Here is a 16,446-nt window from a genome sequence, read left to right on the forward strand (position 1 = left end):
TTCTAACACAATGTTTTCTTAGGGCTAATTTTAAGTTATTTTTTGGGGACTATCATCCCTTATATCCTTCTCCTTCCAAGGTATCCCAAAGTTGATGTGCAGTGTTACTGTACACTTTTTCAGCATGTGCAAATCTGTCTAGCTTATAATCTAGCATCATTTTGTGTTGTTTTACATTTTATATAAATTGTATTACACTCTACAGATTCGTTTGAAACTTGTTTTCTGTCCAACCTGATAGATTTGAGATTTATCCATATTGATTTATGTAGATCTAGTTCATTCATTTTACTTGTTATATATGATGACAGTAATTGGTTCGTTTTCCTAATGGAGGACAGCTAGATTGCTTCCACATTTCTGCTCTTTTAAACAGATATATATATAGATAGATAGACAGATAGATAGATAGATTGATTGATTAGATAGATATAGATATATAGATATATATAACATATATGTGTGTGTATATATACATATATACGTATATGTGTGTGTATATGTATACATATATACGTATATGTGTGTATATGTATACATATATACGTATATGTGTGTATATGTATACATATATACGTATATGTGTGTATATGTATACATATATACGTATATGTGTGTGTATATGTATACATATATACGTATATGTGTGTATCTACATATACATATATACATATGTATGTGTGTGTGTGTGTGTGTGTGTGTGTATATATATATATATATATATATATATATATATATATCCTGCAGTAGCTCTTCTTGTGAGATTCTCCTATGTGAGAATTCCCCTAGGTCTGGGGTGTACTCAGAAGGGGAACTGCCAGTCATATGTATCTTTAACTTTACTAGCTTTGGCAACTTGCTCTGCAAAGTGTCTGAACCAATTTACATTCCACCAGCAGTGTTGGAGGATTCTACTTCCTCAAATTCTTACCAATAAATGCTTTTATCAGGTTGACCAAAAAGATTCCATGTGGCTGGGGTGAAAGAGCAGGTGTTTGCCTCTCTGTGATTGCTGGGAAGGTTAAACACCTTTTCATAGGTTGATTAGCCATCAGTGTTGCTTCTTCTGTGAATTGTTTGTTTATATCTCTAGCACCTTTTTCCTCCTTCCTGTTTTGGGGCATGAGGAAGAGAGGTGATGCTTTACTCACTGATTGGTAGAAATTCCTTACATATTCTGGATACTAATTTTTTGTTGATATAAGTTGCAAATTATCTTCTGCTGGGATTTGACATTTTCATAAAATATTTTGATGAAAGAAAAATGAGAAATAGGGAAGAGCATTCAACCTTTAATAGAAGCATCTGTAAAAGGGTCTATTTGTTCTGCTCCTGAGACAAGTTGGTGGTGTGTTAAACTAATGAATCATTACAGTTCCCATATATGCAGTTATCATTACATGAGCCTTTTTTATTTCTTTCTGAGGTTTTATTTTGCTTTGCTTTTTTTTTTTTTTTTTTTTTTTTTTTGAGAGTTTCGCTTTGTTGCCCAGGCTGGAGTGCAGTGGCACCATGTCAGCTCACTGCAACCTCTGCCTCCCAGGTTCAAGCAATTCTAGTGCCCTAGCCTCCTGAGTAACTGGGATTACAGGCACCCACCACCATGCTCGGCTGATTTTTTGCATTTTTGTAGAGACAGGGTATCACCATGTTGCCCAGGCTGATCTCGAACTACTGATCTCAGGTAATCCACCTGTCTCAGTCTCCCAAAGTGCTAGGATTACAGACATGAGCCACTGCACTGGTCTTGCTTTGCCTTTTTAAGGCATCACCTTTAGGGACTTGCCTTTGTTCTTGATGGTTCTCCAGGGTCACTTGTTTGAGACTTTAGTAACAAGTTGCTGATACCTTAGGTAATGATACTTACAATTACCTAAGTCCCAGATGAACGTGAAGTCTGCCCACTTCCAGGTCATGGGATCTTAAGTTCTTATGACCCATAAAAGACTTAGACTAGCTTCTTGACACCTACCAGCTCATGGGTGAGTAGCTCCCATCCTCCCAAACTAGAAGCAATTCATTTCATTACAAACCCACCAAAAAGCACAATTCTGTCCACCAAGAGATAACGGCTGTTAGTACCCTGAAATATATCCTGTTAAACTTTTTCTAATACATATGAGTATGTGAATATCATATAACTAAAGTGATCATAAAATACTTATTTTAGATTGTAGGTTTTTTTACACAATACGTGTCTCAGAAGTCTTCCTAGGTTAATGCATACACTCCTACAGTGGCAGCTTTAATGGCTGTGTAGTATTCCATTGTTATCTTGAAGATTTTAAAACATCTTTTTTGTTGGATATGTGGCTGATTTCCATTTTTTTACTATAAGGAGCAATCTTTAAGTGAACCTTCTTGTACATGGATGTTTGTGAACATCCAAAATCTAAGACCTGGAATTGCAGGGTGAAAGTTACACTGATCTCTGCGACTTTTGTTGTATACCCTACAGGTGTTTAGCATAATGGGGAGGGGCAGTTGTCTGGGGCTCTCATTTGGAGGAAACTTACTGAGCATGAATTGGGGATACGAAGATGATAAGATGATCTCACTCCCTTGTGTCAGGGGCTCATGGTCTAGGGCAGCAGTCTTCAACCTTTTTGGTGCAGGGACTGGTTTCATGGAAGACAATTTTTCCATGGACCCGGTTGTGGTGTGGTTTCAGGATGAAACTTTCCACCTCAGATCATTAGGCATTAGATTCTCAGAAGGAGGGCATAGCCTAGATCTCTCAATGTGCAGTTCACAATAGGGTTTGTGCTCCTATGAGAATCTCATGCCGCCGGTGATCTGACGGTAGGCAGAGCTCAGGCGGTAATGCTTGCTTGCCCGCCGCTCACCTCCTGCTGTGCACCCCAGTTCCTAACAGGCCATGGACAGGCACCGGTCCATGGCCTGGGGGTTGGGGGCCATACACTGGCAGCTGGGCAGGAGGCAGCAGGCTCAGGACATGAGGAAACTGACCCTAGGAGGGAGGAGGTTGGTCTCCAGTTTCAGGAGGTAGATGTCAACTGCCTGAAATTCTCTGGAGACAATACCCCTGGCTCCCCTCTCCACACATCAGCCCTCTGTCTGAATGATATAACATGATTCCCTTGACTAAAAGCACAGCCCTTGCTGTATCTGAGGTGAGCCACAAAACCTCTTGCACTTCAGTCTCCACCCCTGTTAGTTGTGGAGAATAATACCTGTAGCTTGCTCTGCTTCACAGCCATGAGATGCAAGGCACATAATGGATGGAAGAGTGCTCGGCCACTGTGAAGCTCTGTGTAAATGTTATATACACAGTACTCCCAATGCCGTCCTCAGAGCGTGCACGAGGGCGTCTGATGAATACCAGCTCTCAGAAGATGTTAAAGAGGATGCTGGTCTGGACGTAGTGGCTCACGCCTGTAATCCCAGCACTTTGGGAGGCCAAGGTGTGTGGATCACCTGAGGTCTGGAGTTCTGAGACCAGACTGGCCAATGTGGTGAAACTCCATCTCTACTAAAAATACAAAAATTAGCTGGACATGATGGCGGGTGCCTATAATCCCAGCTACGTGGGAGGCTGAGGCAGGAGAATCACTTGAACCCGGGAGGCGGAGATTGCAGTGAGCCGAGATCACGCTACTGCACTCCAGCCTGGGCAACGGAGCAAGACTCCGTCTCAAAAAAAAAAAAGTGGATGCCGGTCCTGAAATGAGACCTCCCTTCTGAACCGGAGTGTGGACAGCCCAGGAACCCACCGCCGCAGCTTAAAATCCTCAGCTGAACATCACTGGGGGAGCACATGGGCTCTGCTTGCTTATGGCCTGGGTTCAAATCCCAGGCCTGCCATTTCCAGCTCTGTAACCTCAGACAAGTGACTCAACCCCCTGTACCGCATTTTCCACATCTGTGACATCTGTGACTTGGTGTGGTCAATGCTCAATACATGTAAGCTTTTATTATTGTTGTTGTTGTTTACAACTTTTTGTTGTTGTTGTTTTAAAGACAGGGTCTTGCCCTGTTACCCAGGCTGGAATGTAGCGGCATGATCAGGGCTCGCTGTAGCCTTGACTTCCCAGCCTCAAGCAATTGTCCTTCCTCAGCCCCACAAGTACCTAGGACTACAGGCGTGCACCACCATGCCCAGCTAATTTTTTTTTTTTTTATTTTAGTAGGGATGAGGTCTTGCCGTGTTGCCCAGGCTGGTCTTGAACTCCCGGGCTCAAATGATCCTCCCACTTTGGTCTCCCAGGGTGTTAGGATTACAGGTGTGAGCCACTGTGCCTGGCCATATTTGCAGCTTGTTAATACTTACAAGGAAACTGTTAGAACAGAAAAAGAATCATTCCCTCAGCCATTTAAAAGCATCCTAAAATCAAGTTCTTGTTTTAAGATAGTTTTCATTCATTGTTCTGGTACTTCCTAAATAGTTTCTTCCCAGTAAAAGTGCCCCCACTTTGGTGGTTTAATTATAGGCCATGAGGATTTGCTTTTTCCGTGTAAGGTTGGAAGAAAAAGTTGGTTTGCTGCTATAGGAAATGAGTAGAAGCTCTGTTGCCCTCGACAGCCTTGTGGAGTTGTCCTGGAAGCCTATGTCCAGAGCTGTCTCCCAGGTCATCCTATTGCTGCACTATGGCCGACTCCCATGCAGAGAGGGTCCTTTTATAAAAACCTAAACATAACCATGTTGAGAGAGCAGTCATCCCTGCCGAACCTTTGCTGAAGCCAGTTGCCTTTGCTCTTAGATGATCTTTGTGCATCCAGGGGTTCTAGAACGTTAGACCCAAGAGTGTCTGGTCCTAGCTTTGGGGGTTTCTTGGCCTAGGATGCAATATTTTAATGGATAGGATCAACATCAGAGTAAATTTTAATTTTTCTAAATAAAGACATTATTAAAAGTTACCAGCTGAGCTCTGTGGTTCATGCCTGTAATTCCAGTACTTTGAGAGGCCGAGGCAGGCAGATCACCTGAGGTCAGGAGTTTGAGACCAGCCTGGTTAACATGGCAAAACCCCGTCTCTACTACAAATACAAAAATTAGCCGGGCATGGTGCTACATGCCTGTAGTCCCAGCTACTTGGGAGGCTGAGGCAGGAGAATCGCTTGAACCCAAGAGGTAGAGGTTGCCATGAGCCAAGATTGCACCACTGCACTCCAGTCTGGGTGATCCGTCTCAAAAAAAAAAAAAAAAAAGTTACCATTGGCCAAATCACCATTTTATCAAAGAAAAGTTTATTTTTACACCCACCCTCCTCAAAAAATAGAAAAAGAAAGGAAGCAAAGACATAAGCCTGGTACATTTCCAAAGACTATATAAATTAATTTCATGTAAAACTTCCTCCTTTGTTCTTGTTTTTCGCCGGTGCGTCCAAGGAATCACAGACTTCATGTACACAAAGAAAAGGAGATAAGATGACTTGGTCTGAGTGGCGTGGTAGATCACACTCAGGCAAGACTGGAGCATGAACGGTTCTCCTGAAAATTCCTTCTAGGCTGCTAGTCAGTGAGTTGTTTAAACTGACTCCAATCCTTTTGTTGTGCAGATGCAAACTGTGATGCAGTTGAATTATGTGATTTGTTTTCTAAATTGTTCATAACCAAAAAACATCGATTCATTTTTATTTATTTATTTTTTATTTTTTGAGACAAAGTCTCGCTCTGTCGCCCAGGCTGGAGTGCAGTGGCGCAATCTCGGCTCACTGCAACTTCCATCTCCTGGGTTCAAGCGATTCTCCTGCCTCAGCCTCCCGAGTAGCTGGGATTACAGGCATGTGCCACCACACTCAGATAATTTTGTATTTTTAGTAGAGACAGGGTTTCACCACATTGGTCAGGCTGGTCTCGAACTCCCGACCTCATGATCCACCCGCCTCAGCCTACCAAAGTGCTGGGATTATAGGCATGAGCCACCGTGCCCGGCCCAATTCATTTTATTAAATAAAGAAACATTTATTTAGAGTTTAAATGTCTGATCTTGAGGTTGCGTCAGGGTGAAGACTAAGCTGCTGTAATAAAGACATATGAAATTAGTGGCTAAGGAAAGAGAGAAGTCGGTGTTTCCTCCCATGTAGCAGTCCTTGGTGGGGTGGCATGGCTCCATGTGGTCATTCAGGGACCTGAGCTGCTTCCATCCTGATGCTCTGTTGTTTTTCCTGAGTGCTTTCCTGGTTTGCTTGGTGGAAGCTGGATTGCTACTGTGTGTGCATGGAAGTGGAGGAAGAGGATGAGGCACCAAAGCTCTGTGTCTTGAGGCCAAGACCCATAAGCATCACAGCACTCTGTGCACAGCCCACTAGCCCAAGCCCAGTAAAGCAGTTGCATATAACTGCAAGAGAGGCAGGCAAATGGAGTCCCCAGCTGGAGGCCACATGCACAGCTGAAACTTGGGGGTGGAGGGAGGAGGGGTTCCTATCACTAAAAGAAGAGGAGAATGACTACTTGGGGACAAAGAGCAGATTCTTTGTCATGGACATGAAGATGTTTTTAATCCATTCTTTCTGTCTAGCAGAATGGGAAAAGGAAACCCCTGCTTCTAGAACTGTTCCAATGTTCTGCCCATCTTGCCAGACTCTCCCTATATTTGGAGGGCAAAGATTCAGGCAGACATCTCTTGGTGTAAAAGTAAATTTATCTGGCTGGGTGTGGGGGCCCACGCCTGTAATCCCAGCACTTTGGGAGGCCGAGGCAGATGGATCACCTGAGGTCAGGAGTTCATGACCAGCCTGGCCAACATGGAAAAACCCCGTCTCTACTAAAAATACAAAAAATTAGCCAGGCATGGTGGCGGCTGCCTGTAATCCCAGCTGCTCGGGAGGCTGAGGTAGGAGAATCACTTGAACCTGGGAAGCAGAGGTTGCAGTGAGCTGAGATCGCACCATTGCACTCCAGCCTAGGCAACAAGAATGAAACTCCGTCTCAGAAAAAAAGAGTAAATCTATCCCACATTGGTGGTTTCCCTGAAGGTCTGGTACAATGGAGGATTCCAAGCCTTTCTCTTTTTCCCAACCATGGCTCTTCCACTGGAGTATTTCACAGGGAGATCCAAGGACACTGTGGGAAGAAGATCTTGGATCCCCAAAGCCCAAATCTGATCGCGTTGCCCAGTGTTAGTGATGACAGCTCTTCCTGGCATATGTTGGTTGGGTGGGGTGGTCTAAGGACTGCAGGATGTTTTAGAGCCTAAATTTACCAACTTTCGGCCCCTGCTTGATGATGCTCAACAGAACGAACAAAGCTGTAGATTACTTGTCCAGATGGCCTCTTTATTTTTAGATTGGTGATCAGTTTCCAGCGTCTCTTTATTTCTTCACCATGATGGTCTGAATGATGACTTCAATGAAGGGCAAACTCAGGCACTCTAGGAAAGATACATTACTCAGCGTGTTATTGCCTGACACGTTCTGGGAAATCACAGGACAATCATCTTCATGTGCAACATGTGGGTTTTTTTTTAATTTATTTGTTTGTTTTTGGCACATTTACAGTTAAATTCCCCAGATCCAAGAAAATGACTTCCCAGTTCCTGGGGAAAATAAATTACGAATGGAGATGGAACCCAGCTCCTCTCTACCACACGGGGCCCAGAACATCGTGTTCTCTGCTGCAAAACTGCATAGATCAGGTTGGCCACAGAACTGCAGGTGCCTCACTGATCCACATTCCTCAGTTAAGGACCAAGATAGAAACCTTTATATATACTCTCACTGAGGGAATTAATTAATGTCTGTGTTAGTTTCCTAGGGCTGCCATAACAAATTGCCACATTTCGGTGGCTGAAAACAATAGACATGTATTCTCTCACAGTTCAGGGAACCAGAAGTCCAAAATCAAGAGACTGGCAGAAAACAAGGTGGTTCCTTCCATCCCATGACTCCCTCCTAGTTTCTGCTGGTGTTCAGCAGTCTTTGCCAGTCTTTGCTTTGACGATGCATTATTCTAATGTCTGCCCCTGTCTTCACATGACCCTCTTCCCTGTTCCTCCAATTTTCAAATCTCCTTCTTCTTTTTTAAAAAATTATAGATAAGATCTCACTCTGTTGCCCAGGCTGGAGTATGGTGGTGTGATCTTAGCTCGCTGTATCCTCAAACTCCTGGGCTCAAGCAAGCCTTTCACCTTGGCCCCCCAAAATGCTAGGATTACAGGTGTGAGCCACTGCACCTGGCCTTCCCTCACTTTTCTTTCGCAAGTACATCAGTCGTTGAATTTAGGGCCCATCCTAAATTCTAGATCACCTTATCTCAAGATCCTCAACTTAGGTATATTTGCAAAAACTCTATTTTATTTTCTTTTCCTTCTTTTTTTTTTTTTTTTGAGACAGTCTTGCTCTGTCACCCAGGCTGGAGTGCAGTGGCGCAATCTCGGCTCACTGCAAGCTCCGCCTCCCAGGTTCACGCTATTCTCCTGCCTCAGCCTCCCAAGTAGCTGGGACTACAGGTGCCCGCCATCAAGCCCAGCCAATTTTTTTTGTATCTTTGGTAGAGACAGGGTTTCACCATGTTAGCTAGGATGGTTTCAATCTCCTGACCTCGTGATCCGCCCGCCTCGGCCTCCTGGATTATAGGCGTGAGCCACCACGCCCTGCCAAATTTATTTATTTTCAAATAAAGTCACATTCACAGATACCAGGGATTAGGACTTGGGCATGTCTTTTCAAGGGATGCAATTCCACCCACTACAATATCATAGCAAACGTGCATCAAAAAGGTTAAATCTATTACCACCGATCCCATGTTGTGTTGACTGCAAAGGCGTACGGCATCAAGCCTTGGAAATGTAACAGGCCCATTTTTCGCAGTTGGAAAATCAGAAGTGCTAGAAAGAGAGCTGGCTCATCCTGTAGGGATGGGTGGTGGGTCGCCTCAGGCCCTCCTTTCATTCCCAGGGACCCCGTTTGCACAGCTGCGTGTGGAGCCGGCTAGCACGTTGTCAGCAACACTTCTTTCCGTGTGCTTGCTCCCTTAGTCTCTGTAACTAGCAGGTGGTTGTGGTGCCTGTCATTCATCTCCCAGGGCTGGCTTGATAAACGTTATTATACTTCTTGATGGGTACCTTCTGGCGTATTTACCGCTTTGTAACTTTGCTGTTTATTGTGGTTCCTTGGAGCCCAATAAAAGCAAGATAAGAAAAAGCAAGCAAGAACAGGGCAGGAAAAGTCAGAACTGTAATTTAGTCATGTAAGGTTCAATTGGATGCGTTTTTCCTTTGCCCCCCTGCCTTCACCGCTGGGCTGTTCAGAGCCAGGCTCTGCTCCACTTCATCCCCATCCCAGTGACATTACACCCTCCACATCCCCATCCTTTCTGGAGTGATCAGTATCTTCTTCAGTGCATGATGGAAAGGGGAAGATTTTAGTTCATATCAGATGTTCAGAATCTTTGTAGGAAATTGAAAAAATATTAAACCTTTTTTTTTTTTTTTTTTTTTATTATACTCTAAGTTTTAGGGTACATGTGCACATTGTGCAGGTTAGTTACATATGTATACATGTGCCATGCTGGTGCGCTGCACCCACTAACGTGTCATCTAGCATTAGGTATATCTCCCAATGCTATCCCTCCCCCCTCCCCCGACCCCACCACAGTCCCCAGAGTGTGATATTCCCCTTCCTGTGTCCATGTGATCTCATTGTTCAATTCCCACCTATGAGTGAGAATATGCGGTGTTTGGTTTTTTGTTCTTGCGATAGTTTACTGAGAATGATGGTTTCCAATTTCATCCATGTCCCTACAAAGGACATGAACTCATCATTTTTTATGGCTGTATAGTATTCCATGGTGTATATGTGCCACATTTTCTTAATCCAGTCTATCATTGTTGGACATTTGGGTTGGTTCCAAGTCTTTGCTATTGTGAATAGTGCCGCAATAAACATACGTGTGCATGTGTCTTTATAGCAGCATGATTTATAGTCCTTTGGGTATATACCCAGTAATGGGATGGCTGGGTCAAATGGTATTTCTAGTTCTAGATCCCTGAGGAATCGCCACACTGACTTCCACAATGGTTGAACTAGTTTACAGTCCCACCAACAGTGTAAAAGTGTTCCTATTTCTCCACATCCTCTCCAGCACCTGTTGTTTCCTGACTTTTTAATGATTGCCATTCTAACTGGTGTGAGATGATATCTCATAGTGGTTTTGATTTGCATTTCTCTGATGGCCAGTGATGATGAGCATTTCTTCATGTGTTTTTTGGCTGCATAAATGTCTTCTTTTGAGAAGTGTCTGTTCATGTCCTTCGCCCACTTTTTGATGGGGTTGTTTGTTTTTTTCTTGTAAATTTGTTTGAGTTCATTGTAGATTCTGGATATTAGCCCTTTGTCAGATGAGTAGGTTGCGAAAAGTTTCTCCCATTTTGTAGGTTGCCTGTTCACTCTGATGGTAGTTTCTTTTGCTGTGCAGAAGCTCTTTAGTTTAATTAGATCCCATTTGTCAATTTTGGCTTTTGTTGCCATTGCTTTTGGTGTTTTGGACATGAAGTCCTTGCCCACGCCTATGTCCTGAATGGTAATGCCTAGGTTTTCTTCTAGGGTTTTTATGGTTTTAGGTCTAACGTTTAAATCTTTAATCCATCTTGAATTGATTTTTGTATAAGGTGTAGGGAAGGGATCCAGTTTCAGCTTTCTACATATGGCTAGCCAGTTTTCCCAGCACCATTTATTAAATAGGGAATCCTTTCCCCATTGCTTGTTTTTCTCAGGTTTGTCAAAGATCAGATAGTTGTAGATACGCAGCATTATTTCTGAGGGCTCTGTTCTGTTCCATTGATCTATATCTCTGTTTTGGTACCAGTACCATGCTGTTTTGGTTACTGTAGCCTTGTAGTATAGTTTGAAGTCAGGTAGTGTGATGCCTCCAGCTTTGTTCTTTTGGCTTAGGATTGACTTGGCGATGCGGGCTCTTTTTTGGTTCCATATGAACTTTAAAGTAGTTTTTTCCAATTCTGTGAAGAAAGTCATTGGTAGCTTGATGGGGATGGCATTGAATCTGTAAATTACCTTGGGCAGTATGGCCATTTTCACAATATTGATTCTTCCTACCCATGAGCATGGAATGTTCTTCCATTTGTTTGTGTCCTCTTTTATTTCCTTGAGCAGTGGTTTGTAGTTCTCCTTGAAGAGGTCCTTCACATCCCTTGTAAGTTGGATTCCTAGGTATTTTATTCTCTTTGAAGCAATTGTGAATGGGAGTTCACTCATGATTTGGCTCTCTGTTTGTCTGTTGTTGGTGTATAAGAATGCTTGTGATTTTTGTACATTGATTTTGTATCCTGAGACTTTGCTGAAGTTGCTTATCAGCTTAAGGAGATTTTGGGCTGAGACAATGGGGTTTTCTAGATAAACAATCATGTCGTCTGCAAACAGGGACAATTTGACTTCCTCTTTTCCTAATTGAATACCCTTTATTTCCTTCTCCTGCCTGATTGCCCTGGCCAGAACTTCCAACACTATGTTGAATAGGAGCGGTGAGAGAGGGCATCCCTGTCTTGTGCCAGTTTTCAAAGGGAATGCTTCCAGTTTTTGCCCATTCAGTATGATATTGGCTGTGGGTTTGTCATAGATAGCTCTTATTATTTTGAAATACGTCCCATCAATACCTAATTTATTGAGAGTTTTTAGCATGAAGGGTTGTTGAATTTTGTCAAAGGCTTTTTCTGCATCTATTGAGATAATCATGTGGTTTTTGTCTTTGGCTCTGTTTATATGCTGGATTACATTTATTGATTTGCGTATATTGAACCAGCCTTGCATCCCAGGGATGAAGCCCACTTGATCATGGTGGATAAGCTTTTTGATGTGCTGCTGGATTCGGTTTGCCAGTATTTTATTGAGGATTTTTGCATCAATGTTCATCAAGGATATTGGTCTAAAATTCTCTTTTTTGGTTGTGTCTCTGCCCGGCTTTGGTATCAGAATGATGCTGGCCTCATAAAATGAGTTAGGGAGGATTCCCTCTTTTTCTATTGATTGGAATAGTTTCAGAAGGAATGGTACCAGTTCCTCCTTGTACCTCTGGTAGAATTCGGCTGTGAATCCATCTGGTCCTGGACTCTTTTTGGTTGGTAAACTATTGATTATTGCCACAATTTCAGAGCCTGTTATTGGTCTATTCAGAGATTCAACTTCTTCCTGGTTTAGTCTTGGGAGAGTGTATGTGTCGAGGAATGTATCCATTTCTTCTAGATTTTCTAGTTTATTTGCGTAGAGGTGTTTGTAGTATTCTCTGATGGTAGTTTGTATTTCTGTGGGATCGGTGGTGATATCCCCTTTATCATTTTTTATTGTGTCTATTTGATTCTTCTCTCTTTTTTTCTTTATTAGTCTTGCTAGCGGTCTATCAATTTTGTTGATCCTTTCAAAAAACCAGCTCCTGGATTCATTGATTTTTTGAAGGGCTTTTTGTGTCTCTATTTCCTTCAGTTCTGCTCTGATTTTAGTTATTTCTTGCCTTCTGCTAGCTTTTGAATGTGTTTGCTCTTGCTTTTCTAGTTCTTTTAATTGTGATGTTAGGGTGTCAATTTTGGATCTTTCCTGCTTTCTCTTGTAGGCATTTAGTGCTATAAATTTCCCTCTACACACTGCTTTGAATGCGTCCCAGAGATTTTGGTATGTGGTGTCTTTGTTCTCGTTGGTTTCAAAGAACATCTTTATTTCTGTCTTCATTTCGTTATGTACCCAGTAGTCATTCAGGAGCAGGTTGTTCAGTTTCCATGTAGTTGAGCGGCTTTGAGTGAGATTCTTAATCCTGAGTTCTAGTTTGATTGCACTGTGGTCTGAGAGATAGTTTGTTATAATTTCTGTTCTTTTACATTTGCTGAGGAGAGCTTTACTTCCAACTATGTGGTCAATTTTGGAATAGGTGTGGTGTGGTGCTGAAAAAAATGTATATTCTGTTGATTTGGGGTGGAGAGTTCTGTAGATGTCTATTAAGTCTGCTTGGTGCAGAGCTGAGTTCAATTCCTGGGTATCCTTGTTGACTTTCTGTCTCGTTGATCTGTCTAATGTTGACAGTGGGGTGTTAAAGTCTCCCATTATTAATGTGTGGGAGTCTAAGTCTCTTTGTAGGTCACTCAGGACTTGCTTTATGAACCTGGGTGCTCCTGTATTGGGTGCATAAATATTTAGGATAGTTAGCTCCTCTTGTTGAATTGATCCCTTTACCATTATGTAATGGCCTTCTTTGTCTCTTTTGATCTTTGTTGGTTTAAAGTCTGTTTTATCAGAGACTAGGATTGCAACCCCTGCCTTTTTTTGTTTTCCATTGGCTTGGTAGATCTTCCTCCATCCTTTTATTTTGAGCCTATGTGTGTCTCTGCACGTGAGATGGGTTTCCTGAATACAGCACACTGATGGGTCTTGACTCTTTATCCAACTTGCCAGTCTGTGTCTTTTAATTGCAGAATTTAGTCCATTTATATTTAAAGTTAATATTGTTATGTGTGAATTTGATCCTGTCATTATGATGTTAGCTGGTGATTTTGCTCATTAGTTGATGCAGTTTCTTCCTAGTCTCGATGGTCTTTACATTTTGGCATGATTTTGCAGTGGCTGGTACCGGTTGTTCCTTTCCAGGTTTAGCGCTTCCTTCAGGAGCTCTTTTAGGGCAGGCCTGGTGGTGACAAAATCTCTCAGCATTTGCTTGTCTATAAAGTATTTTATTTCTCCTTCACTTATGAAGCTTAGTTTGGCTGGATATGAAATTCTGGGTTGAAAATTCTTTTCTTTAAGAATGTTGAATATTGGCCCTCACTCTCTTCTGGCTTGTAGGGTTTCTGCCGAGAGATCCACTGTTAGTCTGATGGGCTTTCCTTTGAGGGTAACCCGACCTTTCTCTCTGGCTGCCCTTAACATTTTTTCCTTCATTTCAACTTTGGTGAATCTGACAATTATGTGTCTTGGAGTTGCTCTTCTCGAGGAGTATCTTTGTGGCGTTCTCTGTATTTCCTGAATCTGAACGTTGGCCTGCCTTGCTAGATTGGGGAAGTTCTCCTGGATAATATCCTGCAGAGTGTTTTCCAACTTGGTTCCATTCTCCACATCACTTTCAGGTACACCAATCAGACGTAGATTTGGTCTTTTCACATAGTCCCATATTTCTTGGAGGCTTTGCTCATTTCTTTTTATTCTTTTTTCTCTAAACTTCCCTTCTCGCTTCATTTCATTCATTTCATCTTCCATTGCTGATACCCTTTCTTCCAGTTGATCGCATCGGCTCCTGAGGCTTCTGCATTCTTCACGTAGTTCTCGAGCCTTGGTTTTCAGCTCCATCAGCTCCTTTAAGCACTTCTCTGTATTGGTTATTCTAGTTATACATTCTTCTAAATTTTTTTCAAAGTTTTCAACTTCTTTGCCTTTGGTTTGAATGTCCTCCCGTAGCTCAGAGTAATTTGATCGTCTGAAGCCTTCTTCTCTCAGCTCGTCAAAATCATTCTCCATCCAGCTTTGTTCTGTTGCTGGTGAGGAACTGCATTCCTTTGGAGGAGGAGAGGCGCTCTGCGTTTTAGAGTTTCCAGTTTTTCTGTTCTGTTTTTTCCCCATCTTTGTGGTTTTATCTACTTTTGGTCTTTGATGATGGTGATGTACAGATGGGTTTTCGGTGTAGATGTCCTTTCTGGTTGTTAGTTTTCCTTCTAACAGACAGGACCCTCAGCTGCAGGTCTGTTGGAATACCCTGCCGTGTGAGGTGTCAGTGTGCCTCCCAGTTAGGCTGCTCGGGGGTCAGGGGTCAGGGACCCACTTGAGGAGGCAGTCTGCCCGTTCTCAGATCTCCAGCTGCGTGCTGGGAGAACCACTGCTCTCTTCAAAGCTGTCAGACAGGGACACTTAAGTCTGCAGAGGTTACTGCTGTCTTTTTGTTTGTCTGTGCCCTGCCCCCAGAGGTGGAGCCTACAGAGGCAGGCAGGCCTCCTTGAGCTGTGGTGGGCTCCACCCAGTTCGAGCTTCCCGGCTGCTTTGTTTACCTAAGCAAGCCTGGGCAATGGCGGGCGCCCCTCCCCCAGCCTCGTTGCCGCCTTGCAGTTTGATCTCAGACTGCTGTGCTAGCAATCAGCGAGATTCCGTGGGCGTAGGACCCTCTGAGCCAGGTGTGGGATATAGTCTCGTGGTGCGCCGTTTCTTAAGCCGGTCTGAAAAGCGCAATATTCGGGTGGGAGTGACCCGATTTTCCAGGTGCGTCCGTCACCCCTTTCTTTGACTCGGAAAGGGAACTCCCTGACCCCTTGCGCTTCCCAGGTGAGGCAATGCCTCGCCCTGCTTCGGCTCGCGCACGGTGCGCACACCCACTGACCTGCGCCCACTGTCTGGCACTCCCTAGTGAGATGAACCCGGTACCTCAGATGGAAATGCAGAAATCACCCGTCTTCTGCGTCGCTCACGCTGGGAGCTGTAGACCGGAGCTGTTCCTATTCGGCCATCTTGGCTCCTCCTCCAAAAATATTAAACTTAAAACAATTTCTTCTTTTAAAATATGTATTATGAGGGATGTTGTAGTATAGCCACTGTAGAATGAGAGAAAATATTATACAGATCTGAACATGTAGCAGGCGTGGAGCGCTCAGGTTTCACGGGTGGCCTTGGAGGTTCTGGCTCTGATGCTACAGAGACAGCCAAGTATAAAGGGGTCCCTGAGAACCTCCAACCTGGCCTGTGCACTGGGAGGAGTGTGCGCTGTGGGGGAGCCATGGAATTTTGTGCTGTCTGCAGTGGGAAGGAGCTTGGCCTCTCCTCTTCCGGGGCGGTAACCGGGGATTCAGTCTGTGAGGCGGGAAGCCCACTAGGAGGACTCTCACTTTGCTGAGTCTCTCTTTCCCTTCTTTCTTCTTCACCCAATAAACCCTGTCCTTCTCACCCTTCAAAGTGTCTGTGAGCCTAATCTTTCATGGTCATGTGACAAGAGCCCGGCTTTTAGCTGAACTAAAGAGAAAGCCTTACAGCACTACCATCCAGCGTCCTCCTCCTTCCTGCCCTGGATTCTTTAGAAATGACTGGAAACTCTCTCCAGAAGGTGTTTTCTGTGATGGCATAAATGGATCACTGGAGGCCCAGGGCCAGTGCTCTCTCTCTGCTGTGCTTCCTTGGAATTCTGGCCCCCAGCCCTTTCCTGAACGCGTCATCTCCTTGAGGGTAAAAGGAGCCAGAGAACACTATCATCGCAGATGCTTCATGTGAATTGTTCCATTTTTAAGACAAAGGACGACAGTTGGCCTTAAAAATAAATCTCATTTGTGTTTCTTTTGGTTGTGGAGAAGTAAAGAATTTTCAAAACGGGTCCTTTTTATATACAAACGTTTGTCTAAATAGAGCATCTTTAGATCTTAAAATGAACAGCAAAGCGAGCACTCGGAGATGCTTCTGTTGTGGGCTTTGGTAGACAGAGAGAGAGGTGAAGGTCCCTTCTATGCCTTTTTCTCTTTCAAATAGTTGTTTTTATTGTGGTGAAATATCCATAGCATAAAATTTACCACTTTTAACT

General features: G+C 43.5%; 1 protein-coding gene across 11 annotated transcripts in view, besides 2 other annotated features; it reads left to right on the forward strand.

Annotated features, from left to right (window-relative positions):
- Positions 1-16,446, forward strand: part of PRKCA (protein kinase C alpha) — a 508,131-nt gene that overhangs the window by 284,580 nt on the left and 207,105 nt on the right. The gene's annotated exons all lie outside the window — the stretch shown is intronic.
- Positions 14,529-15,182: an enhancer, noted in NCBI's record as "OCT4-NANOG-H3K27ac-H3K4me1 hESC enhancer chr17:64597839-64598492 (GRCh37/hg19 assembly coordinates)". NCBI's record gives its function as "activates a minimal SCP1, AML or CMV promoter by ChIP-STARR-seq in naive H9 embryonic stem cells {active_cell/tissue: H9 hESC(naive)}" and the evidence as "EXISTENCE:reporter gene assay evidence [ECO:0000049][PMID:30033119]".
- Positions 15,183-15,834: an enhancer, noted in NCBI's record as "H3K27ac-H3K4me1 hESC enhancer chr17:64598493-64599144 (GRCh37/hg19 assembly coordinates)". NCBI's record gives its function as "activates a minimal SCP1, AML or CMV promoter by ChIP-STARR-seq in naive H9 embryonic stem cells {active_cell/tissue: H9 hESC(naive)}" and the evidence as "EXISTENCE:reporter gene assay evidence [ECO:0000049][PMID:30033119]".

The sequence above is a fragment of the Homo sapiens genome, chromosome 17, assembly GCF_000001405.40.
Source record: "Homo sapiens chromosome 17, GRCh38.p14 Primary Assembly".
NCBI lineage: Eukaryota > Metazoa > Chordata > Mammalia > Primates > Hominidae > Homo > Homo sapiens.